Raw genomic sequence first — 26,886 nt, forward strand, 5'->3', positions numbered from 1 at the left:
GGATTGTATCAATGTAAATTTCCCAGTTGTGATATTATATTATAATTATGCAAGACATTCCTACTGGCAAAAAAGGATGACGAATATATGGGAAATCTCTGTATTATTTCTTTTTTTATGGTGTAGAAAGTATATATATATAACATTAAATTTACCATTTTAACCATTTTAGGTGTTCAATTCAGTGGCATTAAGTAAATTCACAATGTTGTGCAACATCACCACTATCCATTTCCAGAACATTTTCATCATCTCAAACAGAAACTCTGTACCCATTAAACAATAATTCCCTGTTCCCCCCACCTCCAGTCCCTGGTAACCTCTATTCTACTTTCTGTTTCTATGAATTTGCCTATTTTAGGTACTTCATGTAAGTGGGGTCATACAATACTTGTCCTTTTGTGTCTGGCTTATTTCACTTAGCATAATGTTTTCAAAGTTCATCTATGTTGTAGCATGTATCAGAATTGCATTCCCTTTTAAGGTTAAATAATATTCGATTGTATACACACACACACACACACACACACACACACACAATATTTGTTTATTCATCTGTTGATGGATACTTGGGTTGTTTCCATCTTTGGAGTATTATGAATAATGCTGCTATGAACATTGGCATACAAATATCCAAATTCCTTTTTTTAGTTCTTTTAGGTATATATCTAGAAGTGGAATTGCTAGATCATGTAATTCTGTGTTTAACTTTTTGAGGAACAACCAAACTATTTTTCTACGGTGGCCACAGCATTTTTCTACCATCAGCAATGCACAAGAGTTCCAGTTCTTCACGTTTTTACCAACATTTGTTATTTTCTGGGTTTTAAAAAAATAATAACCATCCTAATGGGTGTGAAGTGATATCTCATTGTGGTTTTGATTTGCATTTTCCTAATGACTAATGATGTTGAGCATATGTTTAAGTAGTTAGGGAAAAACTTGCCCCAGTATCCAGTTGGTTTCTGTGGGTTTCCTTTTCATCCCAAACCTGGCCCCTTTGTTCTTCACTGTCTTTTTAGCTCACCAGTGCCTTCAGGCAGCTGTTTTAAACATTTTGTCCATAATTTCTAGTTGTTTTCAATGGGGTAGTTGATCCATATAATGTAATCTACCATTATTTGAAGCGTCTTTTGGGTTAGCTATGGTTTTGCAAGAGAAAACAATTGTAAATATAATTAAAAGTCATTTTTAAAAAGTTGGTAACTTCTGAAGCCATGGTGACCTTTTATAAAAAAAAAAGCTAATAACTTTATGAATCTTAAGAATAGCACTAAATCTTTACTCACTAAAAATATTTCTGCATGCTACAGAGATCATATAGACTAGGTATATGGGAGGAAATGGTGCAGTTTGTTCTCCATCCTACAGTATTTCAGAGAGGAAAATGGGCTTAAAGCACTTACTGTCAGGAAAAACACACTTACTTTATTTGGGTCTCCTGCTTAAACATCATCTCTATGGAGAAGCTGTGTTGGGAGTTCCCAGGATCACCCCTAGGTTTGATAATTCATTAGGAGGATTCATAAGACTCAAAATAGGTCAGGCGAGGTAGCTCACGCCTGTAATTCCAGCACTTTGGGAGCCCAAGGCAGGAGGACTGCTTGAGCCCAGGAGTTCGAGACAAGCCTGGGCAACATAGTGAGATACCATCTTTATTAAAAATTTTTAAAAAGACTCTATATAGTCATACTCATGACTCATGATTACAGTAAAAGGATACAAAGCAAAATAAGCAAAAGGAAAAGGCACATGAGATGAAGTCTAGAGGAAACCAGGTACATGCTTCCAAGAGTCCTTTCCCAGTAGAGTCACAATGGACATGCTTAATTCCTCCAGGAACTAGTGACAACATGTGTAAAATGTTGTCTGCCAAAGAAACCCACCCAAGCCTGCTTGTCCAGGGTTTTTATTGGGGATGAATCATATAAGCATAAAACCCCTACATGATGACCCTCAGTTACTGATGTTCCAGATCCTCAAGGGAATGGAGGTGTTCATTATAAATCACATTGTTAGCATAAACTATCTGGACAAACTACTGCAGAGTCACTTAAGGACTGGCACATGCAAGAACACTCTTATCAGACAGAACATCCCAAGAGCTCAGTTCCCAGCAACCAGCCCAAGGTCAGTCATGAAAACAAGTCTTTCTTGAAATAGTGCAGGGTTTGAGCAACCCAGGCTTACTAAGTTGATCCTTTTCCACACAGAGGTCTACCTGATCAAATCTGAAGAAGGAAAGCACCCTTTGTTACTCTCTAGTTTCTTACTCTTTGTTATATAATCATTTGTTTATTTGATGCTAATTAAATAACTTTTTTTTTTTTTTTTTTTTTTTTTTTTTGTGACGGAGTTTCACTCTTGTTGCCCAGGCTGGAGTGCAATGGCATGATCTCGGCTCACCGCAACTTCCACCTTCCAGGTTCAAGTGATTCTCCTGCCCCAGCCTCCCGAGTAGCTGGGATTAGAGGCATGAGCCACCATGCCCGGCTAATTTTGTATTTTTAGTAAAGACAGGGTTTCTCCATGTTGGTCAGGCTGGTCTTGAACTCTAGACCTCAGGTGATCCGCCTGCCTTGGCCTCCCAAAGTGCTGGGATTACAGGAATGAGCCACCGCACCTGGCCACAAATATTTTATAATTTTTAAATTTCTTTATTATCATTCCTCCACTAGAATATAAATTATATGAGGCCAAAGACTTTGCTTTATTCATGACTGTATCTCCAGTGTCTAAAACTGCTTGGGCTATAGTAGGTACTCAACAAATATTAAGTAGATGAATGAATGGAAATTATCATTTATTTAAATATTTAGGAATGCCAATGATGTTGACTGGATCTAAATTATTGGGACATACTGTTACCATATGAATGACAATTTTCATCTCTTTCTTCTTCCCAAACAGGTCCATAATTCAGCAGCCAAATCTTTCCCTCGAAGGTTTGTTTTGCCTTTAAATGTCAGTTTGAATGCCCCTGAGGGAGACAACCTGAGTCCATTGTCCTATACTTCAGCCAGTGCTGTGAAACAGGCTGATGGAACGGTATGCTATGAACAGACATTAGACTAAGACTTTGAACTTTAATGGTGTTACTTTATTCTTTAGCTGTTTTCCAAAATGTCTGGTACCCAATAACTTTTATAACATTCATCCGAGCAGGTTAAGGTTATGTAACATCGCTTGCACAAGAATTGCAGAAACAGTGGGAATGAACACAGTGTTTATCTATCCTTCCTGTGCTTTGAAACAGAGATATGGAACTGTCTAATGGTTGTGGAATGTCTATCCATTTGAGCTTGGCATTAGCAATCCCCACCTTTTATTTTTTATTTATTTTTATTTTTTGAGATGGAGTCTTGCTCTGGCGCCCAGACTGGAGTGCAGTGGTGCTATCTCGGCTCACTGCAGCCTCTGCCTCCTGGGTTCAAGCAATTCTCCTGCCTCAGCCTCTCGAGTAGCTGGGACTACAGGCACCTGTCACCACGCCCGGCTAATGTATTTGTATTTTTAGTTGAGATGGGGTTTTGCCATGTTGGCCAGGCTAGTCTCGAACTCCTGACCTCAGGTAATCCGCCCGCCTCAGCCTCCCAAAGTGCTGGGATTACAGGCTTGAGCCACCGCGTCCAGCTGCAATCCCCACCTTTTAGATAATATGTGCTTAGCACAGACCTATCATTGTGTAGCTGTCAATGCCTTAGCTTTAGAAGAATAAAACGCATATCTCCACCTCCTATGTCATTTGACAGCTTATTAATAAAACTTGATAATCATTATGCATCCACACATATGATGGAAAGAGGAACAATATTAAAACATGACATAGAACCTCAGTTCCCAAGCCCTGTCACAAACCTTTATAGGGTATGAGGCTCCTCACTGACCTACATAAGAGGAAAATAAGAATTAAGCAACCACTACAAATCCTTTTGAAATCTCTTTTAGATCTGGTGCTCTCATGAAAATCTACATCAGGAGGACCTAGAAAAGGAAGGAGGCATTGAATTTCCTCAGATCTACTATGATCGATTCAGTGGCAAAAAGTATCATTTCTTTTATGGCTGTGGCTTTCGGCATTTAGTGGGGGATTCTCTGATCAAGGTTGATGTGGTGAATAAGACACTGAAGGTGATGAAAAACTCTTTCCTTTTTGAACTTTTCAGAGACCTGTTCTTCCCTTTGAATTAGTTTGTTTTATTTAAAGTAGCTCTTAAGATTCTTCAGTATTTAAGCAGCTGAGCCATTTTCTTTTATTTGAGAACTATGAAATCATCTAAGTTAGGGGTATGTTCCTTCTAGGGAATCCAAATTGACCCCAGGCCCAGCAAAATAATTCTATGTTTGATTTTGATGTTATTTTGGGAGCAATTGTGGGGTTAGGGTTGTTAGGACACCTATATTTAAAGTTGATGGCAAATTATAGTTACACAAATTGTGTTTGATGGTGATGGAATCTGGGACTGCAAAGACTCCCTCTCTTTCTCCCATATTCAACTCAGTAGGCCTGATTCTTTTACTTTTGGAATATTCTATTGACAGCCTGTGTTAGTCTGTTCTGTGTTGTTATAAAGAAATCCCCGAGGCTGGATAATTTATAAAGAAAAGAGGTTTAGGCTGGGTGTGGTGGCTCACGCCTGTCATCTCAGCACTTTGGGAGGCCGAGGGGGATGGATCACAAGGTCAGGAAATCAAGACCATCCTGGCCAACACGGTGAAACCCTGTCTCTACTAAAAATACAAAAATTAGCTGGGCGTGGTGGCACATGCCTGTAATCCCAGCTAATTGGGAGGCTGAGCCAGGAGAATCACTTGAACCCAGGAGGTAGAGGTTGCAGTGAGCTGAAATTGCGCCACTGCACTCCAGCCTGGCGACAGTGCGAGATTCCGTCTCAAAAATCAAAACAAAACAAAACAAAAAAACAAAAAAAAACAAAAAAAAAAGGAAAAAGAAAAGAGGCTTATTTGGCTCATAGTTCTGTGGGATGTACCAGCATGGTACCAGCATCTGCTCAGCTTCTGATGAGGCCTCAGAAAGCTTAGAATCATGGCAGAAGGCAAAGAGGGAGCCTCATGCCACATGGTGAGAGAGTAGGAGCAAGACAGAGAGGAGGAGGTGCCATGCTCCTTTAAAACAACTACCTCTCAGACGAACTAATAGAGCGAGAGCTCACTTGTCACCAAGGGGATGGTGCTAAGCTATTCATGAGGGACTGGCCCCCATCACCCAGCACTTCCCACTAGGCCCCACCTTCAGCACTGGGCTCAGCACTCCAGCATGAGCTTTGGAGGGGACACACATCCAAACTACATCACAGCCAAATTCATGCTTGGAGTGACAAAAGCCATAGAAAGCTCCCTACTTACTACTTGCCTTTTATCAAATGCTTTTTTTGGGACTTGCAGGTTTGGAGAGAAGATGGCTTTTATCCCTCAGAACCTGTTTTTGTTCCAGCACCAGGAACCAATGAAGAAGATGGTGGGGTTATTCTTTCTGTGGTGATCACTCCCAACCAGGTAAATATATTTCCCTATCACCAGTCAGAAAGAAAAGTAGCACTGAGTCATCTGATAAATCAAGGATGCACACTCATCTGTCGATAGTTTACTTTGATTCCTTTTCCCTTCTCTTCCCCTCCTTACTATTTACATACCCTTTTATCTCAATCCATATTTTATTGTTTTAAAGTTCTGTTTGGAAGGCCATAATAACAATTTGTATTTGCAAAGGAATTTGTTATTTACGAACTACTTACACATATTTAGTTATCAAAACAACTTTGTGGGATACCATTTTATACATGTGGAATTTGTAAAGTAAACAAGTTGAAGTAGACTTGCATCAGATCTCCTGGTGGTAAAGCCAGTATTTAAATCCAAGTCTTTTGACTTCCAGTCTAATGTTTATATCATCATGTGTGCTGCCAATTTCAATGAACTGACCTCCAAGTCCAATGTCATCAGTCCTGGTCCAGTGTCCCAATAACACTATGCACTATCTGACTTCTTGTCTAGGGCAATCTTATGGCAAATAGGTTCACTTTGAGTATCAACTTTGATTAATTATTAGTGGCTGCCTGGGGTGCAGGGCTCTGAGGCCTTTTAAGGGTTCAGTAAGAAAGGCTGTGATCAATTAGCGATATCTGCCATGGGCTTTAGGAGGACTTTGTCCTCATGCCATGCACTTGCCATTCCTGGAATTAGATTTGGCAGATCTCAATCTGCCTTGCAATGCTGGCCTTTAAACAGCTCCAAAGTAACACAAAATGGAGGCATTTCTAACTTGGAAGAAAGAGTTTCTGTCTTTTAGAAGATTGGAAAGGCACAAGCAAAAATATTAAACTCAAAGAAATTCTGTGAAGGTGATTGATAGAAACAACTTAATTTCTTTGCTGTAGGTATGAACTTCTTTAGCCATGATATCCTTTCCAGTCCAGTTCAGCAACTGAGGAAACAATTTGTGAGTGTATAGGTGAGGCACTGTGCTAGGTTCTGGGGAGAGGTATGAAGATGTGTAAGACATGGTCTTGCTCTTTCTTTCTCTCTCTCTCTTTTCTTTTCTTTTTAAAGACAGGGTCTCGCTCTGTCACCCAGGTTGGAGTGCAGTGGCACAGTCTCAGCCCACTGCAACCTCTGCCTCCCAGGCTCAAGCGATCCTCCTGCCTCAGCCTCTGAGTAGCTGGTACTACAGGTGTGCACCACCACGCCTGGTTAATTTTTGTATTTTTTATAGAGATGGGGTTTTGCCATGTTGCCGAGGCTGGTCTTCAACCATGATCTCAAGCAATCCACCCACCTCGGCCTCCCAAAGTGCTAGGATTACAGGTGTGAGCCACTGTGCCTGACCAACATGGTCTCTCCATTAGGAATTTTACAGCTTAGTGGAGGAGACAGGCAAATTTTTGATGAAAAAAAGATAATTTTCAATATTGTCTTTTCTTTTCTAGAATGAAAGCAATTTTATCCTAGTTTTGGATGCCAAGAACTTTGAAGAGCTGGGCCGAGCAGAGGTACCTGTGCAGATGCCTTATGGGTTCCATGGTACCTTCATACCCATCTGATGGGACAACCACAAGGTCTGGAAACTAGGTTTAAAATAAGTGTGCACTTGGACATAAAGACTGGAGAAATAAACACTGAGGACTCCAAAAGGGGGGCAAGGAGGAAGAGGGGCAGGGGTTAAAAAGCTACCTATTGAATACTATGTTCCCTATTTGGGTGATGGGTTCGTTAGAAGTCCAAACCTCAGCAGCACACAATATACTCATGTAACAAGCCTGCACATGTACCCCAGAATCTAAAATAAAAATAAAAAGAAAAACAAAGAATGTACTCTATACAAAAGACAGAGCATAAAGGGCACCGTACCTCCCAAACCAATGTCCCAAATAGACATTTAGTTTAAAAATTTCTGTTAAAAACAGAATTCACTATTTCCTTGCCACTGCCAAGTCACGCCATGGCAGAGGCTCGAGTGCATACAAGCTTCGGTTTTACCCTTAATACACCATCATGACCAATGGAGGCATTGCTGCTGGAGGTGTCATGGCCATTAACACTACTTTATAAGAGGTGCGGAAGACTGCCCTCACTCATCATGGCCTAGCATGTGCAATTTGTGAAGCTGCCAAAGCGTTAGACAAGCACCAAGCCCACTTTTGTCTGCCTGCACCCAACTGCAATGAGCCTATGTATGTCAAGTTGGTGGAGTCCCATGGTGCTGAACACCAACTCACCCTAATTAAGGTTGATGACAACAAGAAACCAGAGGAATGGGTAGGCCTCTGTAAAACTGAGAGGGAAACCCCCGAAAAGTGGTTGGCTGCAGTTGTGCAGTAGTTAAGGACTAGGTCAAAGAATCTTAAGTCAAGGATGTCATCGAAGAGTATTTCAAATGTAAGAAATGAACAAATAAAACTTTGGCACTCATGTTTCTTAAGAAAAAACACCACAAAGCAGAATTCATAATATAACTATGGTTATAGATATTTATTTTTTAGGGCTCTTACTTGAAATAATTAAGAAAGTATTGATACAACCTTTTGAAGAGGGTTTTAAATTTCATTTATTGGATATATCTTCCTCTAGGTAATAATAAGAATACACGAAATAAAAATTCATGTATTTTGGTCATTACTGCAAGAATTAAAGAAAGAGGAAAGAAACATGAAAGGTGGCTTGCCAGTTAAGACAGGTTTATTTTAGAAAAAACAAACCCGAGAGGAGCCTTTTGGCTGAGTTAGATTAGAGGCACACTTTTTTACAGACTAAGAGTTTTTAAGGATTCAGGGTGGGAGAGTTTATTAGAGGCTTGGACTGCTTCTGTGTTTCTTTGTTGTGTTTATTTGGGAGGGAGAGTTGTGTGTTTGTTCCCATACATATTTTTTTGCAGCTGCAGGCATACCCCCCAAAGTCTGCTTTTAGCTTCCCTATCTTAGTGCACCTGAAGGGAGAGGAATGTCCTTATTAAGGCCCACTGTTTCACTGGGGCCCATTATATGAGGGTGAAATTTGGCAGTTACCCAAGAGACTTTCCCCCTACTTCCCTCTGTGCCCGTGCTGTTTTATTTGTGTTTTACTGTCTGCTTTTTCTGTTTGCTTGTAGTTAGAAGAGAAGTGATTTCCTTGAAATGCATGAGGCTAGAAAGGGAGCTGGAACTTAAAGTGGCGGTTTGTCCAAAATAAAGATGCTCCTGCTCTGTCAATTACCATCATCGGATAGGTGGATGACAGAGGTCCTAGGAGAAGAAATACAAATGATCATAGATAGTAGACTTTGAATACAAATCTGAAAAGCACCTTGTTCTTTCCATCACAGTCTGCCTGTTACCATTGGTCCTAAGGTACTCAGAAGACAGGAAGCTGGCTATATCCTGCATGGAGGCTTCTTCTAAACTGTTTTTTTCTCTGCTGTCCACAGCAGATGCTACTGCAATTGCACAACCCTCCTATGGACCACCCACTACCCCCACCCCACCCTCAGCTCGGCTTTGGGAGCTTATTTTGAGGAACATCACTAAAATCAGGCATTTATTCTAATCTCTACGTGTATAGTTCTCAGGGATGGATGACAAGCCAGTAGTGCTTCATTTAATTGGACAGCAGGTGGCACTAGAGACCATATAATCTTCACATTTCTAAACCCTGCCTGATCTTACCAACAGCCGTAGGCAGGCAAGGTCTGTCACTTAAACGACACTCTTGCCAACACCCCCAAAATCCCTTGTTCCCTTTTCCTTCAGTTACACTCCCTTCCCTCTGCTGAACACCATTCCAGGACCAGTTAAACTGTTTATGCTCCTTCCACATGGTGAATGCTCTGGAGAAGACCCCCAGACATACAATATGTGGCACCTGTGAACTCATGGTTAGGCTCTCTGCACCGTCCTGGACTAACATAGTTTCCTGTCTAATTTTCCTTAAGAGTCACTTCAAACTTCACAGACCCCATCTTCTTTAGTGATGTGTTCCATACATGCAAATGCCATGCGTGGAGCTTTGCACTGTGGCAATAAAGTAAAAGGGCTGAGTTCCATGTCTGGGTTTGTGAGATGCAGAACACAGCAGCAGGTTTAGAATGGCAAGAAGATGCCTAAACAGAACTAATGCAGCAGATGCAGGAGCAAAGAGCCTCAGGTAACCATGAGAGTGTAAGTCCCCCAGTGTTTCCTTTCACAGAAGTCCCTGAAAAGGCATTCATTGTACTTCCTCAGACAAAACATGGAGATTTGATTGATCTTCCTAGATCTGAAGGGTGAAGGAGACTCTGGATGACCTCTGGCAAGTCCATAGATCTGTCACATCTTTCCTCTGTTTATAAATCTCTATCTTAATACACAGGGAATGAAGTTCAGACATATGAAGGATAGCAGTATAATCATAAGATTTTGACCTAAGGATACCTGAATTCTGCCTTGGCTCTGCTCTGCTCTCTGTTTCTTGAAGGAGAACACAAAAAAGGATCAGTGGCATGTTATAATCTAGGCATATATGCCTGGTAATCCAAGGGAGAAAGTTCTGGTAAAATTGAGTGAGCATATGACCAAGGCCCAAAGCATAGGCTGGGCCTCTTCCTCTGCCTAAGCCCAACTCTTACCACTAGCCAGTGTCTGAGGATTCAAGGAAAGGGAGTAAGTGGTGCACAATTGAGGGGAAAAGGAAGAGGCAAATGGGCAGGTTGGGTCCTCCACAGGAGGCAAGCAGTAGGAAAACGTATGAACCAGCCAGCTAGGCCTCCTTGGGGCAGGGTGGGAGTAGGGGAGAGCTTTGGCTTGATTTTTTTTTTTTTCCTCTGAGCATAGCTCTGGAGAGTAAGCAACACCATGTGTGGTACTTCTAACACATTGTAGGCCTGCCTGTGAGTCAACAAGGCCCAACCAGTGCCTGGAAATGTGATTTAAGCAGATGAAAATTCCCTTTTTGTGGGGAGCTACAAGGGAGATAAGGGGGTGAAACCTCCTTTCGTTTATACTTAAATGACATTCAAGGCCTTTCAATAATTTGGTCCCCAATCAATGTTTCCAGTCTTACCTCTCACCTATCTCCCCATTGTAGCCAAGAACTCTTCAATATGCAGTAAACAAGCTGTACTTTTCCACATTTCCTTTGCTTACATTCTCTTCCTGGAATTCCCTTATCTACCTGGTGAATCTTAAAATCCAGCTCAAAAGTCATCTCTTCTTTGAAGCCTTCTTTTACTTCCTGAGGGAGAATTAGTGTTTTTTTTCTTTTTTAGTTTGTCATGATTTATTTCTGTGTTTAGCTCCCTCACTAGCTTGAACTGTATGAGGACAGGAAACGTGTTTATTATTCATACTGCGCCCCTGGCACTTAGCAGTGCACTTGGCATTCATTAGATGTTAAATAAACACTTTTTTTTTAACTTAATAAGTGAATGAGGACCAGAAGGTGATAGATATGGGGCCTACCTTGCCAATATATGTCCATTGGAGTACCTTATGGGATCTTTTTTTTGGTGGGGGGGCTTGGGGGTATTTATTAAGTGATGCTTTAGTCTCAGTCTCTGCCAGCAACTGGGGTGTGGGTTGACTCCACTCGCCCCAGGATTTCCCAGACTTGCTGTTTTAGTGGAGAGAGGCAGGAAGCCAACTATCCTCTAAGCCCCAGCTTGGGAAGCTAGGCTAGTACTGGGGTGGGGGCAGCAGAGCTGAGACCCTCCACCCCCACCCCCAGCCCCCAGCCTCCCAGCCTGAGGGGGAGGAGCTGAGGCAATTTTGGCCGCAGCCTCCCACACACAGCCCTGCCCTTGGTGCGCCATTCACTGCCCTGAGTTATTCATGATCTCTGCTCCCACATATTCACCTTGACACTCCAAAAGCCAGCCCCACACCCAGCCCCTTCAGGTCTTTAGTCCTGGGGAGAGCAAAAGGAGGGACAGGGGCCCTTTGACTGAGCAGCTTCAAGGGGCCTCTCCTTTCTGTTACCCACTGAATGCCAGCCCCTTGTCTTCAGCCCTCCCTTAGATAGGAAGGAGGGTGGTGGCCTCAGACTGCACCCCCTTTCTTCTTCTTCTCTTCCTGGCATCCCATTCTGTCCCAGCACAGCAGCCAAGAGCACAAAGCACAGCACCTGTGAGGCTGGTGGGCACAGGAGCCCGTGCTGGCACAGGCCAAACTGCCTGCAGCCCTAGGTGGGGCCTGCTCCTGCCCTAGAAGCTAGACAGAGGGAGACAGAAAGCAGAAGTGGGGCAATGGGATGTGCGGCCCCTGTGGCAGGAGGAGGAGCACACGAACCCTGACCCTGCTTCTTGGTGCAGGCCACTCCAGGCCTTGCTTCTGTAAGAGACTCTGTGGCTGGCTCCAGAGCTGCCCGGCCCCCATAAAGGGGGCTGAAAGGAGGATGGGTGGTCCTTGAGGAGGGGAAGGGTCTGCAGAGAATCGCTCAGACACCAGGTATTACCCAGCTATTCCCCCAAGACCTGGAGGGTCCAAACTCCTGGCCCCAACCACCTGCATCTTGGGTGAGGAAGAAGGGCCTCTTCTGCTGTTCCTTCCCCTCAGAGATCCAAGAACCCACTCCAGTGAAATGCAGGTACCCATGCCTGCCACCTGCCCCTGGAGACAGCAGGGGAGTTGAGGCAGGAAGGCTGGCCAGGGGCCCTTATGGGATCTTTTAGTAGAAGCTAGCCTTCTGAGACAACGCAGCCAAGCACAAGCCAGTAAATGTTGCAAGAGTGAAGGGAGAACTATACCTAAATGGCTGTTGATCTCAAGGCACTGAAAGCTAAGTTAAGAGGAATGTTATTTGCTTATTGGTTAGTGTGTTAGTCTGCTAGGGCTGCCATAACAAAGTACCACAGAGGTCTTAACAGAAATGAATTGTCTCACAATTCTGGAAGCTAGAAGTCTGAAATCAAAGTTGGTTTTTTCCTTCTGAGGGCTTTGAAGAAAGATCTGTTCCAGTTCTCTCTCCTGGGCTTGGAGATGGTGTTGTCTGTGTCTTCACATGATCTTCCCTCTGTATGTGTCAGTTTTTGAGTCCAAGTTTCCCCTTTCTACAAGAACATTAGTCATGTTGGATTAGGTCCCATCCTAAACACCTCATCTCAATACGTGTGCAACAATCCTATTTCCAAACAGGTTAAACTTCAACTCTGCAAATGCAGTGAAATATTTTACTAAAACAAACAAGTATTATTAATAAAAATAATTTTGCAGAAATTTCTCTTACTCTTTCACTTTATTTTGATTCTTTAAGCTGGTTTTGGAATGAGCAACTATTTGTGTAACCACTGACTGTTAGAGAGTATTTATCACTGAGGCAGTCCATACCTGGGAAATAATGTTTCTGTTCTGAGTGATCTCGCAATAGTAATTCACTTATCTGTGGCTGTATTTTCTTATCTGTAAAGTGAAAGTATTGAACTAAACAGTCTCTATCTCGAAAATCTCTAAATGTTATTTGAAGTTTTTTCTTTACAGTACAATGGGGTAGATGAGACAAACATCTGAAAATGTATGGAGAGTGTTTGCTAAATAACCTGTTAGTAGTTTAATGCAGAACAAACAGAATATATAGCTGTAAATAGGAGATATTTGAGGGAAATCACCATTTGAGCTTATTTCTATCGCCCCCATGATTTTATCTTTCTTTTTACAGGAAACTTTTCCAAGCCTGTTATTAATCAGTGACTTGTCCTGCTTTTCATCATATACAGTGATGATTTTTCTCATATAGAGTGGAGCTGTCCTCTCCAGTACCTGGAACAATGCCAGCCACATAGTAGATGCCCAATAAATATTTAGTGAAAGAGTGAATGGAAGCAAGAGGTGACATGATTCTGGGAACTGTGTGTAGTTTGGTTACTCTTGTGAGTAGATGTGAGGAAACAAGATCCTTTCACTCTCAATGTGTCTACACTGGCAGAAGAATTGCTAATATGTGTTTAGGGGTGTCTGTATTCACACTATGCCAACCCAGAGTAATAAATGGGTCCATACATGCTTGTGGATAAGAATGGCTTTAGAATTTCCCTTAGTAAGGATCATTACACAACAGTCCAAAGGACTGTTGTCACGTGGTCCTATTTGTGCTCTCAAATTCTTGCTCTTTAAAAATTTTTTTTTAAAGAAACGGTATTAATCCTAAGCAAAAAGAACAAAGCTGGAGGCATCACGCTACCTGACTTCGAACTATACTACAAGCCTACAGTAACAAAAACAGCATGGTATGGGTACCAAAACAGATATATACACCAATGGAACACAACAGAGGCCTCAGAAATAACACCACACATCTACAACCATCTGATCTTAGACAAACCTGATAAAAACAAGAAATGGGGAAAGGATTCCCTATTAAATAAATGGTGCTGGGAAAACTGGCTAGCCATATGTAGAAAGCTGAAACTGGATCCCTTCCTTACACCTTACACAAAAATTAACTCAAGATGGATTAAAGACTTAAATATCAGACCGAAAACCATAAAAACCCTAGAAGAAAGCCTAGGCAATGCCATTCAGGACATAGGCATGGGCAAGGACTTCATGACTACAACACCAAAAGCAATGGCAACAAAAGCCAAAATAGACAAAAGGGATCTAATTAAACTAAAGAGCTTCTGTACGGCAAAAGAATCTACCATCAGAGTGAACAGGCAACCTACAGAATGGGAGAAAATTTTTGCAATCTACCCATCTGACAAAGGGCTAATATCCAGAATCTACAAAGAACTTAAACAAATTTATAAGAAAAAAAATCAAACAACCCCATCAAAAAGTGGGCAAAGCATATGAACAGACACTTCTCAAAAGAAGACATTTCTGCAGCCAACAGACACATGAAAAAATGCTCATCATCACTGGCCATCAGAGAAATGCCAATCAAAACCACAATGAGATACCATTTCACACCAGTTAGAATGGCGATCATTAAAAAGTTGGGAAACAACAGATGTTGGAGAGGATGTGGAGAAATAGGAATGCTTTTACACTGTTGGTGGGAGTGTAAATGAGTTCAACCATTGTGGAAGACAGTGTGACGATTCCTCAAGGATCTAGAACTAGAAATATCATTTGACCCAGCCATCCCATTACTGGGTATATACCCAAAGGATTATAAATCATGCTACTTTAAAGACACATGCACCTGTATGTTTATTGTGGCACTATTCACAATTGCAAAGACTTGGAACCAACCCAAATGTCCATTAATGATAGACTGGATTAAGAAAATGTGGCACATGTACACCATGGAATATTATGCAGCCATAAAAACGATGAATTCATGTCCTTTGCAGGGACATGGATGAAGCTGGAAACCATCATTCTCAGCAAACTATCACAAGGACAGAAAACCAAACACTGCATGTTCTCACCCATAGGTGGGAATCAAACAATGAGAACACATGGACACAGGGTGGGGAACATCACACACCGGTGCCTGTCAGGGAGTAGGGGGCTGGGGGAGGGATAGCATTAGGAGAAATACCTAATGTAAATGACGAGTTGATGGGTGCAGCAAACCAACATAACACATGAATACCTATGTAACAAACCTGCACGTTGTGCACATGTACCCTAGAACTTAAAGTATAATAATAATTAAAAAGAAAAAAGAAAAAGAGAAACGAGGGTCTTGCTCTATTGCCCAGGTTGGACTCCTGGGCTGAAGTGATCCCTCTCCTTCTCAATAGCTGGGGCTACAGGAGTGCGTCACCACGCCCGCCTGGCTCAATTCCTGCTCCTTTTGGTCTATAAAGCGGACTGTGGCCCTGGGGTTCATCCGATTGAGTCACCAGTCACTGGAGCTTTACAGGAGAGAGTGGGAGAGGAGGCTCAGAGAGGTCACTCAGGACCCAAAGTGTGCCCAGACGGGCCCTAACTACGTGGCGTGACCTCAGGCGGGGCAAACAGATCAAGGACACAGGGTCCCCACCCACCCTGACCACTCCAGGGTATGCTTAGGTATCCCAAATCTTGCTCTCCGAAGAGATTCAGATAGCGAGAGACACCCTTAACTGTCTCCCGAGGCCGGGATTGGCCAGAGCGGAAGCGGAGACGCACTTCCTAGGGGCGCGTCTGGCACGCACTGCGCAGCCGCGGTGGGAGGAGGCACCGGCCGCGCGGCGGGAGGAGGTGCCGGCCGAGCACCGCAGACAGCGCCGGGAAGATGAGCACGGAAGGTGGTGGCCGTCGCTGCCAGGCACAAGTGTCCCGCCGCATCTCCTTCAGCGCGAGCCACCGATTGTACAGGTAGGGTGTGCACACAGGTACAGCGGCGGGCGGTGGGCGCCGGGCCCCGGAACGTCACCGGGGCGGGGCCGGCGGGCGTGCTGACGTCGGGCCCGGGAGGGGCGCGGGGGCTGCTGGGGCGACGCGCGCTGGTCGGCTTCGTGGGGCTTCGGACGGCCTCCAGCATCCTGATGGGGGCTGGAGTGTCCCCAGCCCTGGAGGGGTGGGGGAGCTTGATGGTTAACGGAGCCGACTGCGGAGGGCGATGGCCCACGTCTGGGTGCGGGGCCCACACCCGGTTCTGCGACTCGAAGAAACGTCTCTGCCCCTAGGAGTCCCTTGGTGTAGACCACAGGGTTGCTGTGAAACTCAGCAGTGTTAAACTCGCCTATGTTACACAGTACCTGGCGCGGCGTAGACACTCAGTAAATGTTAGCTAATCTTGTATGCCAGGAGCATTGGCCACCATATCTAATGTAATTACAAGGCAAATTTTAGCCCCTTTTTTACCAAAGACTGGATGAACCCAGTCCCTGGTGGTCTAGTGGCTAGGAGAAAAAAAAAAAAAAATGAGCCCAGACGTTCAGTTTCCGAAGCAGCATAGTTGGGATTTGAATCCCGATCATACATACTGCTTGCATGCACTGACGAGTTGATTTTGAGGAATTTTACCACGCACTAACCAGCTCCACCCTCTGGCCCTCCGTATCGTCGTCTGTGAAATGAGGATGACCATCGCTATCTAACAGGATTCATCCCTCCATTCGCTAAACCAGGTTTTGTTTCGTGCTTGTCAGGGCTTGTGCTAGGTAACGGATGCATCAGGGATCTTGTATGGGGTTTCCAATCTGGCCTATTTTGTGGAGGGTACACTGAGAAAATTTTGTGCAAAAGACTTTAGCACTCTAAATACAAGAAGTGGCTGAGCAGGAGAAAGTGGGGGTGTGTTATTCCATTTTGCATTGCCACAAAGGAATACTGAGACTGGTATTTTATAAAGAAAAGAGGTTTATTTGGTTCTGCAGGCTGTACAAGAAGCATGGCACCAGCATCTGCTTCTGTTGAGGCCTCAGGGACCTTCCACTCATGGTGGAAGGCGAAGGGCGAGCAAGCAGGCAACTCACAGGGCAAGTGAGGGAGCAAGAGAGAGGAGAGGAGGTGCCAGGCTTTTTTTAACAACCAGCTCGCCCATTGACTAATAGAGCGAGAACTCACTCATTGCTTCAGGGAGGGCACCAAGCCATTCATAAGGGATCCACTTCCATGAGCCAAACATCTCCCACTAGGCCCCATCTCCAACACTGGGGATCACATTTCAACATGACAATTGGAGGGGACAAACATCCAAACTACATTGGGGGGAATAATAAAGAGGATCTCAAAAAAAAGGGGTTGTATAATAAGCTTAAACACCTGAGGGTGGTAAGGTCTCATAGACGATGCGAAATTGAATGGATGGGTATAAGTATAAACATTAAGCAATTTGTTTTCTGTCTGAGACGACAGCCAAAGATTGTAATTTTAAAAATTCACCTGCTTGGAATATTCCTCAACAGATTGGTAAAGTTCTCATGAGGCAGTAGTTGAGACATAGTATAAAGCAAGATTGCTAAATAGGAGACTTACCAGGTCATGTAATTTTTTTAAATTATTTTTTCTGGATGAGTAGTTTAGCTTCTGAGAGAAATGAGATAGTAAGCCACTTTGCGGATCACCATCTATGTTTATCATTATATGCTGTTATTTCATTCAGCACTTGCCTGTTACATTGTAGGCACTCAGTAATGTTGAATTGAAAAGTGGAAGGCCCATGAGCAGATCAGTTGCTGTGGAACAAGGGGGTTGAAGTTAAGGTTTGTTTGTGCTAATTTGTATGGTACAATCTTCTAATTAGGGAATATGCCATGGTTTGTGACGTATACGTAAGTAATAAAATCAACATGATTTCTGACTCTCCCTTTGGTGAGCTAAAGTAATAAATTGGGAAACTTTTCAAAGATCAGTACAAATAATAAATATAAGGAACAGAGAAGGGGGTTTGAATGTGATACTTGTGTCATGCTGACTTTTTTTTTTTTTTTTGGTCAGTAAATTTCTAAGTGATGAAGAAAACTTGAAACTGTTTGGGAAATGCAACAATCCAAATGGCCATGGGCACAATTATAAAGGTGAGAGAAAAACTGATGACATTTCAGCCCTTCAATAAGGATGAAAGAGTATTCAGCAAATGTAGACATAAAGAATGGGAAAACTTACGGACACAGTGTGAATGCTTTGAGCCTTGAATGAGAAATTAAATGGGAGTTCAGAATGAAAGGATCTGTTGTCTTGGTTGGGTGTGTGTTAAGTTTTACCTTGCAATGTCAACTCTTACAAACAGTCCAAAACAATGAATGGTTTAAAGCATTTTTCTTTGTCCTAGAGTACACAACAAGTTTCTTTCTGATTAGGTATGGCCAAGGCTAATGTTAAAATTAGATTTTATTCTTTGAGTAAATAATGACTGACAAAAGGGGAATGTTGCCTAGGAATGTAATGTATGGCAGAAAAATAGGTTTGGTCTAAAGCTTTGCCAGCAGTGTTCGAAGAAAGTAGGTAATTTGTTCAAGGATAAGAGACTTGATTCTTTGAGGTACAGCCTGCCTTAAAAAACAGGTACATAAGTCGTAGAGTATAAAACAGTATGTGGTGTGGTGGCATAAAAAAAAACAGACAAGGTGTCAGGAGATTAGGATTACTGGTTTAGCTACAGCCTCTTCCTTAATCTATGGTATCTCAGTCTCAGTGTACTCACTTACATGTAATATCTAATGGTATTTGTACAGAACTAAAATACATAAATTCATAAAAGTTATTAATGTGTAAAGCACTGATAAAGTTTTTTTTTGTTGTTGTTGTTTTTTTTTTTGAGATGGAGTTCCACTCTTTTTGCCCAGGCTGGAATGGTGTGATCTCCCGTCACTACAACCTCCACCTCCCAGGTTCGAGCGATTCTCCAGCCTCAGCCTCCCGAGTAGCTGAGATTACAGGCGCCCGCCACTATGCCTGGCTAATTTTTGTATTTTTAGTAGAGATGGGGTTTCACCATGTTGGCCAGGCTGCTCTCAAACTCCAGACCTCAGGTGATCTGCCCGCCTCGGCCTCCCGAAGTGCTGGGATTACAGGCTTGAGCCACCACGCCTGGCCAAGATTTTTCAAATGCTTCTCACAAGCACTTTTTAATTTACAAAGCATTACTTTAGACTTTGTATACATTCATGTGAGTAAGGGGACAAGAATTTAAGGCCCAGTAGTATTGCTTGTTCAGAAAGGTACTGCTCAGTATTGGACCAGCTTGCTGTGTAGCTGGACACCTGAAAGACATTTTCTACTTCTACAGGCAGAGACTGAGCAGCATCTTGATGCTCCCTAGTGCATTAACATAAGCAGAATTTACACCCTTTTCAGCCTTGGCCGAGTGCCTCTGCTTAGCCAACATTCCTACTAAGCTCCTTTGTCTCGATTGTGTCTTGCTTTGGTTGCTAAAAAAAAAATCTTAACTAAAATAACAGATGTTTTGGGGTAAATATTTAAGTATAGCTTTTGGGGACAGATCTAATAATTTATGTTGCCAACTTGTGCTTGTATGTTGCTAACTTGTGCTTGGATGTTGATCTGTTGAAAGTCATGCTGTTTTTTTTGTATTTTGTTTTCTTTCCATAGTTGTGGTGACAGTACATGGAGAGGTATGTGCAGAAAATATTTGTGTGGTTTTTGCAGATTGCTGGGCTCTCTTTCAGCCAGTGTGGTGGATTCTGTGTTGAAAACTGTTCCAGTCAGTATTGCTTCATTGTTGGCCCTTGTATATGTGTGTGTGGTGAGCTGCCGCCATTCCAGGCCTCTCCTCTACCAAAGTGTTGTCTTTAATATGCTGTATGTGGACAGGTAGAAGGGCTATACAATGAAAAGGATGCTTGAAGTACATGGTGCTTCCATGCTGAGGTCAATGATTATCTCTGGGATGAAGGCAAATGTGCAAATGTGGGCACAGTCTCTGCACATTGTACTGCCTTTAATAATTTGCCAGCCGTTTAATATGGAGAGCCTATCACAGTAATATTCACCTTTGTTTATTCTTTAGATTGACCCTGCTACGGGAATGGTTATGAATCTGGCTGATCTCAAAAAATATATGGAGGTAATGGCATGTTGGGTGCTTATTATGTGCTATTCCCTAACTGTAATATTTGGTGGCCCCCTATCTACCTCCCCAACCAGTTATCTCCTAAGGTTCCATGACTTTGTGAATAGAACTGGATGTGGGTGTTGGGGAATAGTTGGAAGAACTGCTCGCATGGCCTCTAAAGGTGTTTTGGTGACTTAACGGAAATTAGTCACAGTTGTGTTACAGCGATGGGAGGAAATATAACATGCTCACCTTGTATTCCTTGTTGGAATATCCTGATTTCCTTCAGTTAACAAATTCTCCATTTCTTTTAAGACATAGCTTTCTCCTTGAGACTTACTGTCTTTCTTTTTTTTTTTTTTTTTAAATAGGCACAGAACCAATGCAAACTTTTCTTTTTGGTAGAGGTAGGGGTCTCACTATGTTGTTCAGGCTGGTCTCAGACACCTCCTGCCTTGACCTCCCAAAGTGCTGGAATTACAGGCATGAGCTACTGCTCCTGGCCTTCTCCTTGGAGCTTTCTCTTCCCTCTCTGAATATTCCTTGTACCTTTGATCATAGATTTAGACACCACACTGTGTTGTTCATTCTAGCTTTATTATAAACTCACCAGAGCAGTACCTCATAGAGATAACACACAAGGTGTTCAATGAAGAACTTAACTGATTGTGTCATTATAGAATTCTTGCACTGTAAGAGACTTTGGAGATTATTCAGACCAACTTCTTCAACCCATAGATTAAGATTGAGAGATGCTGAACAGTTAACTGACTTGCCCCAGGTCATATGGCTAGTCATTTGCAAAGCTGGGAGTAGATTTCTTTCCTTCCAGCTGTTTTATTATGCTGTCATTTCACTTGCAGCTTAGGTTTGTTCTGAGATTTGACATTTGCTTGATTAAAATGATGTTATTAGTAATGATTACTTCTTTCACATTACTTATTCATATATTCAACAAATTTCTCTACTTCGCATCAGTTTTTGAGCTAAGTGTACAAAGATGAATGAGATGTAGCCCACAGAGTGTATACATTACTTTTTCTAGGAGGTGAAGAATATTATTAAATAACTGTTGATTTAATAAATGAGTAGAAGAATGAGTGAATGAAGAAACAGCACTATGCTCAAAATACTTTAGGAAAGTTATACAGATAGGGCCAGCATGCATTTATGGGGCAGGGGTTGGGGGGCAGGCGGAGAGAGAGAGAGAGGGAGACAGAGACAGGAGAAGAGGAGGGGGAGGGGAGGACAGGGGAGGAGAGGGGAGGGGAAAGAAAGAAAAAGAAAAAGAGAAAAGAAAAGAAAAGAAAGAAAAGAGACAAGACAGCAACATAAAAGGCCTCAACATATGACTAAATACTGGAGGAGGGCTTCTCTATGCTGTTTTCTGCTTTTGTATGCCTGAAGGACACCACACACTTTCATCAGTAAAAGTGGCTTATCATGGCATGTAGAGTAAAGTTAGAGCTCTACCGTGGGGGGAGGATTGCTTGAGTCCAGGAGTTCAAGGCTGCAGTGAGCTATGATTATGCCACTTGCACTCCAGCCTGGATGACAGAGACCCTGTCTCTAAAAACAAAACAAAAGAAAACAAAAAGCCCTGCATAAGAGGCTTTAATGGAGAAATTGGGACTGGAACTGGGATTGAAGATGAAGCAAGGATGCCCGTTTTCTTGTTATTCATGTGGAACATCCCTTCATTGGATATATTTCAATAACTGTTTGATCTAGGACTTACTCTTTTTGTATGATTCTAGTTTTTCTCAAGAAATGATTGCTGTTACTGTTATTAATGTACCCTTCTTCAAACTACGTCCTATGGAAAATTACATTTTTTTTTCACAGATGCTTAGATTTTTTGCAATAGCTAAAAGCAAAAACCTAGAAAGAATGAGGCAATTTAATCCTTGCTGATGATGAGGAAAAACATTATGTTAATATACACGAGCATTAGGGAGTAATAGTCTTTACATATATATATTTTTCCTTCTATGAGCCCAAGATCATTCTTAAATTATTCCTCATAGCAAAAATTTAGAACTACTTACATAATTTCAGTCTAGGTCTGCTTTATAAAATGTAGTAGTCACTGGATCTTTGTCCTTATGATATTGTGGCATTGTTCCGTAGGTGTGACAGTGTTATGGAAAAATATTTGTGCTAACTGTTTGGACAGGATTCACAAAGTGTTAAACTGAATTCTGAATTACAATGGCTTGTGTTGCGAGAAAGCTCCAGGAATTCTCTGCTTTTTGGTTTCTCACCTCTTTTTATTCAGTAACAAGGATTCCTAATCATTACCGACAGCTGGGCCTGACTTTATTTTACAACTTGAAATTTTGTAAAGTTGCCTTGTAAGACTCAAATCTAGTACTTACAAATATTTAGTTAGTGGCTAAGTGATAAGGTGAGGTTTAGAGGCATAAGTGGAACAATTTGGAATTTGAGTCGTAAATGGAGTCAATGATATTTTCCCTTGGTTTTGTCTCTAGGAGGCGATTATGCAGCCCCTTGATCATAAGAATCTGGATATGGATGTGCCATACTTTGCAGATGTGGTGAGGTGGGTGGCACTGTATCTTGCCTTATGTGGATTGTAAAACAAGAATTGATTTGAATACTTTGATTGTTGTGTGATTTCTGAAGTTTTAATTTAATGAAATCTTTCGAAACTAGAATTTCTATTTTCTGTAAATATTAAACATGAAATTTTATTGTTTGCATTTTGAATTTTTTTTGTTTTTGTTTTTTTTTCTTATAGCACGACTGAAAATGTAGCTGTTTATATCTGGGACAACCTCCAGAAAGTTCTTCCTGTAGGAGTTCTTTATAAAGTAAAAGTATACGAAACTGACAATAATATTGTGGTTTATAAAGGAGAATAGCTATTGGGGTTAGCATTGCACAAAGCCCAGTTTCTTTCTGTGTTTGAAAAAGATTTTGATCCCCTTGGAATATTAAGAGGTCAACACGTGATTGTTGTACGTACACATTGTGCTCTGGAGTGCCTATTTATTGAAATCATTGTAAGACCTGTTATAAATTTAAGTCTATTTAAAACTAAACTTGTAATATACATCCTGAAAATCATTTAGAGAGTCTTTTATTTATAAATTAAAAATCACTTCATTTTCACAAAATGTTTTGGTGTGGGATTATTTGAAAGCAAAAGAAATCTAATTTTGTTTTCTCCATTACCTCATTTTAGTATTAATTTTTACTTGGTATAATATACATGGTTAAAATGCTTATGTGACTTCGAGTAGGTGAATCTTAAAGAAATAAAATTCAAGTGACCACAAAGTCTGGAGACAATATATATATGTATATTTAATAGATTGAACTCTCTTGATTACTACTTGTTGGGTGTGCTGAAGGCATAAGTGGATTCAGTGAAAATTAGACACACAAATCATGTGAGGCATCTGTTGTGGATACACGTACAAATATTGATGGAAATGCTGCTTTAGAGCACATCATTCATTACAATTTTGCACAGCGTATTGAACTATGAATTGCTAGTGAGGAACAACACATTAAACATATCATGGAATATCAGTAAATTATTCAGTATACTCCTCTGAATTTCTGAACCTGATGGGCACTTGAATAATTTCAACTCAGAAGACTGCAGAATAATCATATTTTAAACTCTAAAAAATAGTCAGCATAAAAAGGATCAACTACCATATAAAATATTTCCTGTATATAGTTTTTCCTAATTGATCCCATTTTGTTCTGATTATTAAACTTACTATATGCTTGGCATTCTTCTCTGGGATCTTTTCCTCGTGACTAAATCCACAAGAAAGTATTTGCTTACTTTGCACGGAAGACTGTTCTGTGTTCTTGTTTGTTTTCTAAATGTCTTAAACGCAGGGTTCTGATTTTCTCTCCACATAGCAACTAGTATACAATGAATTCCCAGAATGTTGTTGCCTGAAAATAGTAAAAGGACTTTTGCAGTGATTACTATTCTAGAAAAACTTGCAAAGAATAGTCTTTTCTAGTGATTGCAGAAATATAAAGTTTGACAGTAATGCAAATGGCCACTGAATTATATTTGAATGTATTTTAGTTATCAAACAATTTGTTCTCTATGTAGAATGTTTTGTATTGATTACTTGAAAGGCAGATAGCTGTTATTTATTAAGACACTTTATGTTTTAATTCACACAAATACCCTGCAAGGTAGGTATTCTCATTCTTTAGGTAAGATAATTAAAGTTGAGAGAGTTTAAACTATTTGCTTTAGATCATTCAGCAAATAAATTGCAAACTGGATGTTTAACATTCAGGGTCTTTCTGACTCCAAAACACAGACTCTGAAAAGGGACAATTTGAATATTTCCAGATTTTTTGAGAGTCTGATCTTACTTATTTGTTATTCAATTTAATTTTTTTTTTTTTTTTTGAGACCGAGTCTTGCTCTGTCACCAGGCTGGAGTGCAGTGGCACGATCTCGGCTCACTGCAACCTCCGCCTCCCAGGTTCAAGCAATTCCCCTGCCTCAGCCTCCTGAGTAGCTGAGGCAACAGGCATGCGCCACCATGCCCGGCTGATTTTTTGTATTATAGTAGAGATGGGGTTTCACTATGTTGGCCAGGATGGTCTCGATCTCCTGACCTCGTGATCCACCTGTCTCGGCCTCCCAAAGTGCTGGGATTACAGGTGTGAGCCACTGTGCCCGGCCAAAAATCTTATTTTTGACTGGATTCAGACTGAGAAGTACAGGCTTGCAGTGAGGACGGTCTGTGTCTCTTGGCAACTGTTCCTGGTGCTTTTCTTTAGCCTCCTTCATTCTCTTGGCCAAAAGTTTAGCATATTCTGGAGCCTCTTCCTTATTTTTCTTAATATACTGTTTCTTCAGAGTAATATGCTGGCATTTGTGCTGCAGGACACGTGGAGGAACAAGATGCTGAATCTTGGGTGCTTTGGTCCTAGGTTTCTTACCTTCTTTGTTTAAGTGCTTGCTTACGACATAGTGGCAGACATCATCTTCTTGAGAGAGATTGAAAAGTTTGCTCATTCTTCTAGATCTTGGACCCCAGGAGATGAGACACCATAGGATCAGCTCAGGAATATCCTTCTCTCCTTTTTTAACAATAACCAATTTGAGAACACTCAGATTGGCATTCACAATGCACGCCTGAACAGATTATTGTTTTCTTTCTCCAGTTCTCCCTGGTCTATAACAGGAATGCCCCTTACCCAGCAGCAGGCAGATATGGCCATGGGTCAAGACATCCTGCTTCATGAGGAAACCTTGTTCCCACCACTGATTCAGACTGCGTAACCCTTCCAGTGTTTACCCAGAGCATCAGCAGCAACTTCTGTGGCCATACACTTCTCATAAACAGCAAGGTTTGCTTTTTATCTTGAAATTTTACCCATTCAGTATTCGTTCCCTCTTTTCTCCTGAGTTCCAAACCACCTTTCTCCCTACCCCATCACTGAAGCATCTTGAAGCAGCCGATCGTCTCTGAGGTGCCATGAAAAAGAGGCCTGACTTCTGCTTTCATTTTTCATTTCTATTTTCATTTATTTATTTTTTGAGACAGCGTCTCACTCTGTTGCCCAGGCTAGAGTGCAGTGGTGCAATTTCACCTGACTGCAACCTCTGCTTCCTGGATTCAAGTGATTCTCGTGCCTCAGCCTCCTGAGTAGCTGGGACTAGAGGAGCACGCCACCACCCCTGGCTAATTTTTGTATTTTTTGGTAGAGACGGGATTTCACCATGTTGGCCAGGCTGGTCTTGAACTCCTGACCTCAAGTGATCCACCTACCTCGGCCTCCCAAAGTGCTGGGATTACAGGCGTGAGCCACTGTGCCCTGCCACATTTTTTTTAATGCAGAATTTTGCAGATCTGATACCATATTAGAAAACATTTTTCAGAGTAACATTAACACTCCAGGTACTTGTTCATGAGTTGCTTCAAGAGAACTTTTGTTCCTGTATGCCAAATGAGTAAATATTCTTAATGTAGGGAAGGAAAAAAATCATTATGGGGTGATGAGGTTTGGAAAAGCTTAGTGGAGGAATGGTACTTTCAGTGATGGGGTAGGGAGAGTGGTGGTTTGGAACTTAGGAGGAAAGAGGGAATGAATACTGAATGGGTAGAATTTCATTAGCACAGTTACTGGGGTGGGAATATACAAAATATATTTAGGTTATAGTGAATATATTGATCTTAGTAGAGTGGTAGTGAGGTGTGAGAGTGTAATGAGAAATGAACTTGGAAATACAGGTTGGGGACAGCCTGGAGGGCCTTGAATGTCAATCATTCTTTATCTTTTGAGGAATAGCAAGCTATTTGTTTTTTAAAGAAGATAACCAGGTGGACAAAGGAAAGTGAGGAAGCTATTTGCAAAGCTGTTGCAGGAATCTAGACGTGAAGTGATGGGTGCCTGGACCATGGGGGTGGCAGTGGAAATAGATGGAAGAAGGAGAATCGAGCTAATTGTGCAGTGCCCATTGTGGTGTCAGGCATTTTGCTAAATACTTCTTATATGACCTCATTTCATCCCCATAACCACCCTGCTGGGTAAATGTATTAGTTATCTACTGCTGCATAACAAATTACTCCCAAACATAGTGGCTTAAAACAGCACACATTTATTATCTCAGTTCTGTGCACCAGAAGGCCACCTCTGGCTCAGAGTCACTCATAAGACTGCAGTCACCTCAGGGCTTGACCAGGAAGGATTCGCCTCCCAGCTCATTCCCATACTTGGTGGTTGGACTGAGGCCTCAGTTCCTCCCTCTGTTTCTTGCTGTGTAGGCCTCTTCACAGAGCATCTCCCAACATGACGGCCTGCTTCAGCAGAGTGAGCAGGTAAGAGGGCAAGGGAGAGTGCCACCAAGATCGAAGGCACAGTCATTTGTAAGTGAAACACTTTTTCTGTATTTTGCTCCTTCGAAGCAAGTCACTCCATCCAGTCCATACTCACGGAGAGGGGATTATACATATATTGCTGATGTGCACATTTTGATGTGGAGATATCAGGTGATAAGACTGGAGAGGTAGG

General features: G+C 41.8%; 2 protein-coding genes and 2 pseudogenes across 6 annotated transcripts in view, besides 3 other annotated features; 3 read left to right on the forward strand and 1 right to left on the reverse strand.

Moving 5' to 3' along the window:
- Window positions 1–8,133, forward strand: part of BCO2 (beta-carotene oxygenase 2) — a 43,435-nt gene extending 35,302 nt beyond the window's left edge. For 4 of the 5 annotated variants that reach the window (NM_031938.7, NM_001256398.3, NM_001037290.4 and 1 more), the window contains 4 exons: window positions 2,911–3,048; window positions 3,949–4,131; window positions 5,407–5,517; window positions 6,948–8,133. In NM_031938.7, the coding sequence (NP_114144.5) occupies window positions 2,911–3,048; window positions 3,949–4,131; window positions 5,407–5,517; window positions 6,948–7,061 (546 nt within the window). In that variant the 3' untranslated portion in view covers window positions 7,062–8,133. The remainder of the gene's footprint in view (window positions 1–2,910; window positions 3,049–3,948; window positions 4,132–5,406; window positions 5,518–6,947) is intronic. The other variant, NM_001256397.3, reaches the window with a different exon arrangement.
- RPS12P21 (ribosomal protein S12 pseudogene 21) lies at window positions 7,431–7,929 on the forward strand (annotated as a pseudogene).
- Window positions 9,240–9,447: a silencer, noted in NCBI's record as "fragment chr11:112090776-112090983 (GRCh37/hg19 assembly coordinates)". NCBI's record gives its function as "represses an EF-1alpha promoter that drives an FKBP-Casp9 reporter gene in an ReSE screen in HepG2 liver carcinoma cells {active_cell/tissue: HepG2}" and the evidence as "EXISTENCE:reporter gene assay evidence [ECO:0000049][PMID:32094911]".
- Window positions 15,486–15,895: a silencer, noted in NCBI's record as "silent region_3906". NCBI's record gives its function as "represses an Ori minimal core promoter by ATAC-STARR-seq in GM12878 lymphoblastoid cells {active_cell/tissue: GM12878}" and the evidence as "EXISTENCE:reporter gene assay evidence [ECO:0000049][PMID:35858748]".
- PTS (6-pyruvoyltetrahydropterin synthase) lies at window positions 15,615–23,160 on the forward strand. The gene is made up of 6 exons (NM_000317.3): window positions 15,615–15,713; window positions 17,781–17,860; window positions 19,395–19,417; window positions 19,813–19,869; window positions 22,350–22,420; window positions 22,619–23,160. Exons 1-6 carry the CDS (start codon window positions 15,631–15,633, stop codon window positions 22,740–22,742), a joined length of 438 nt encoding a protein of 145 aa, NP_000308.1. The 5' UTR covers window positions 15,615–15,630; the 3' UTR covers window positions 22,743–23,160.
- Window positions 16,253–16,547: a silencer, noted in NCBI's record as "tiled region #3969; K562 Repressive DNase matched - State 1:Tss". NCBI's record gives its function as "represses a minimal TATA promoter and a strong SV40 promoter by Sharpr-MPRA in K562 cells {active_cell/tissue: K562}" and the evidence as "EXISTENCE:reporter gene assay evidence [ECO:0000049][PMID:27701403]".
- RPS6P16 (ribosomal protein S6 pseudogene 16) lies at window positions 24,551–25,230 on the reverse strand (annotated as a pseudogene).

Source organism: Homo sapiens, chromosome 11 (assembly GCF_000001405.40).
Source record: "Homo sapiens chromosome 11, GRCh38.p14 Primary Assembly".
Classification (NCBI taxonomy): Eukaryota; Metazoa; Chordata; class Mammalia; order Primates; family Hominidae; genus Homo; species Homo sapiens.

What these genes read in the sequence shown, in the direction of transcription:
- PTS (NM_000317.3), top strand. Translation starts at nt 15,631, where the DNA reads ATGAGCACGGAAGGTGGTGGCCGTCGCTGCCAGGCACAAGTGTCCCGC. An exon ending in GCGAGCCACCGATTGTACAG is followed by an intron (nt 15,714 to 17,780) that starts GTAGGGTGTGCA and finishes TTTTTTGGTCAG; the next exon opens with TAAATTTCTAAGTGATGAAG. An exon ending in ATCTCAAAAAATATATGGAG is followed by an intron (nt 19,870 to 22,349) that starts GTAATGGCATGT and finishes TTTTGTCTCTAG; the next exon opens with GAGGCGATTATGCAGCCCCT.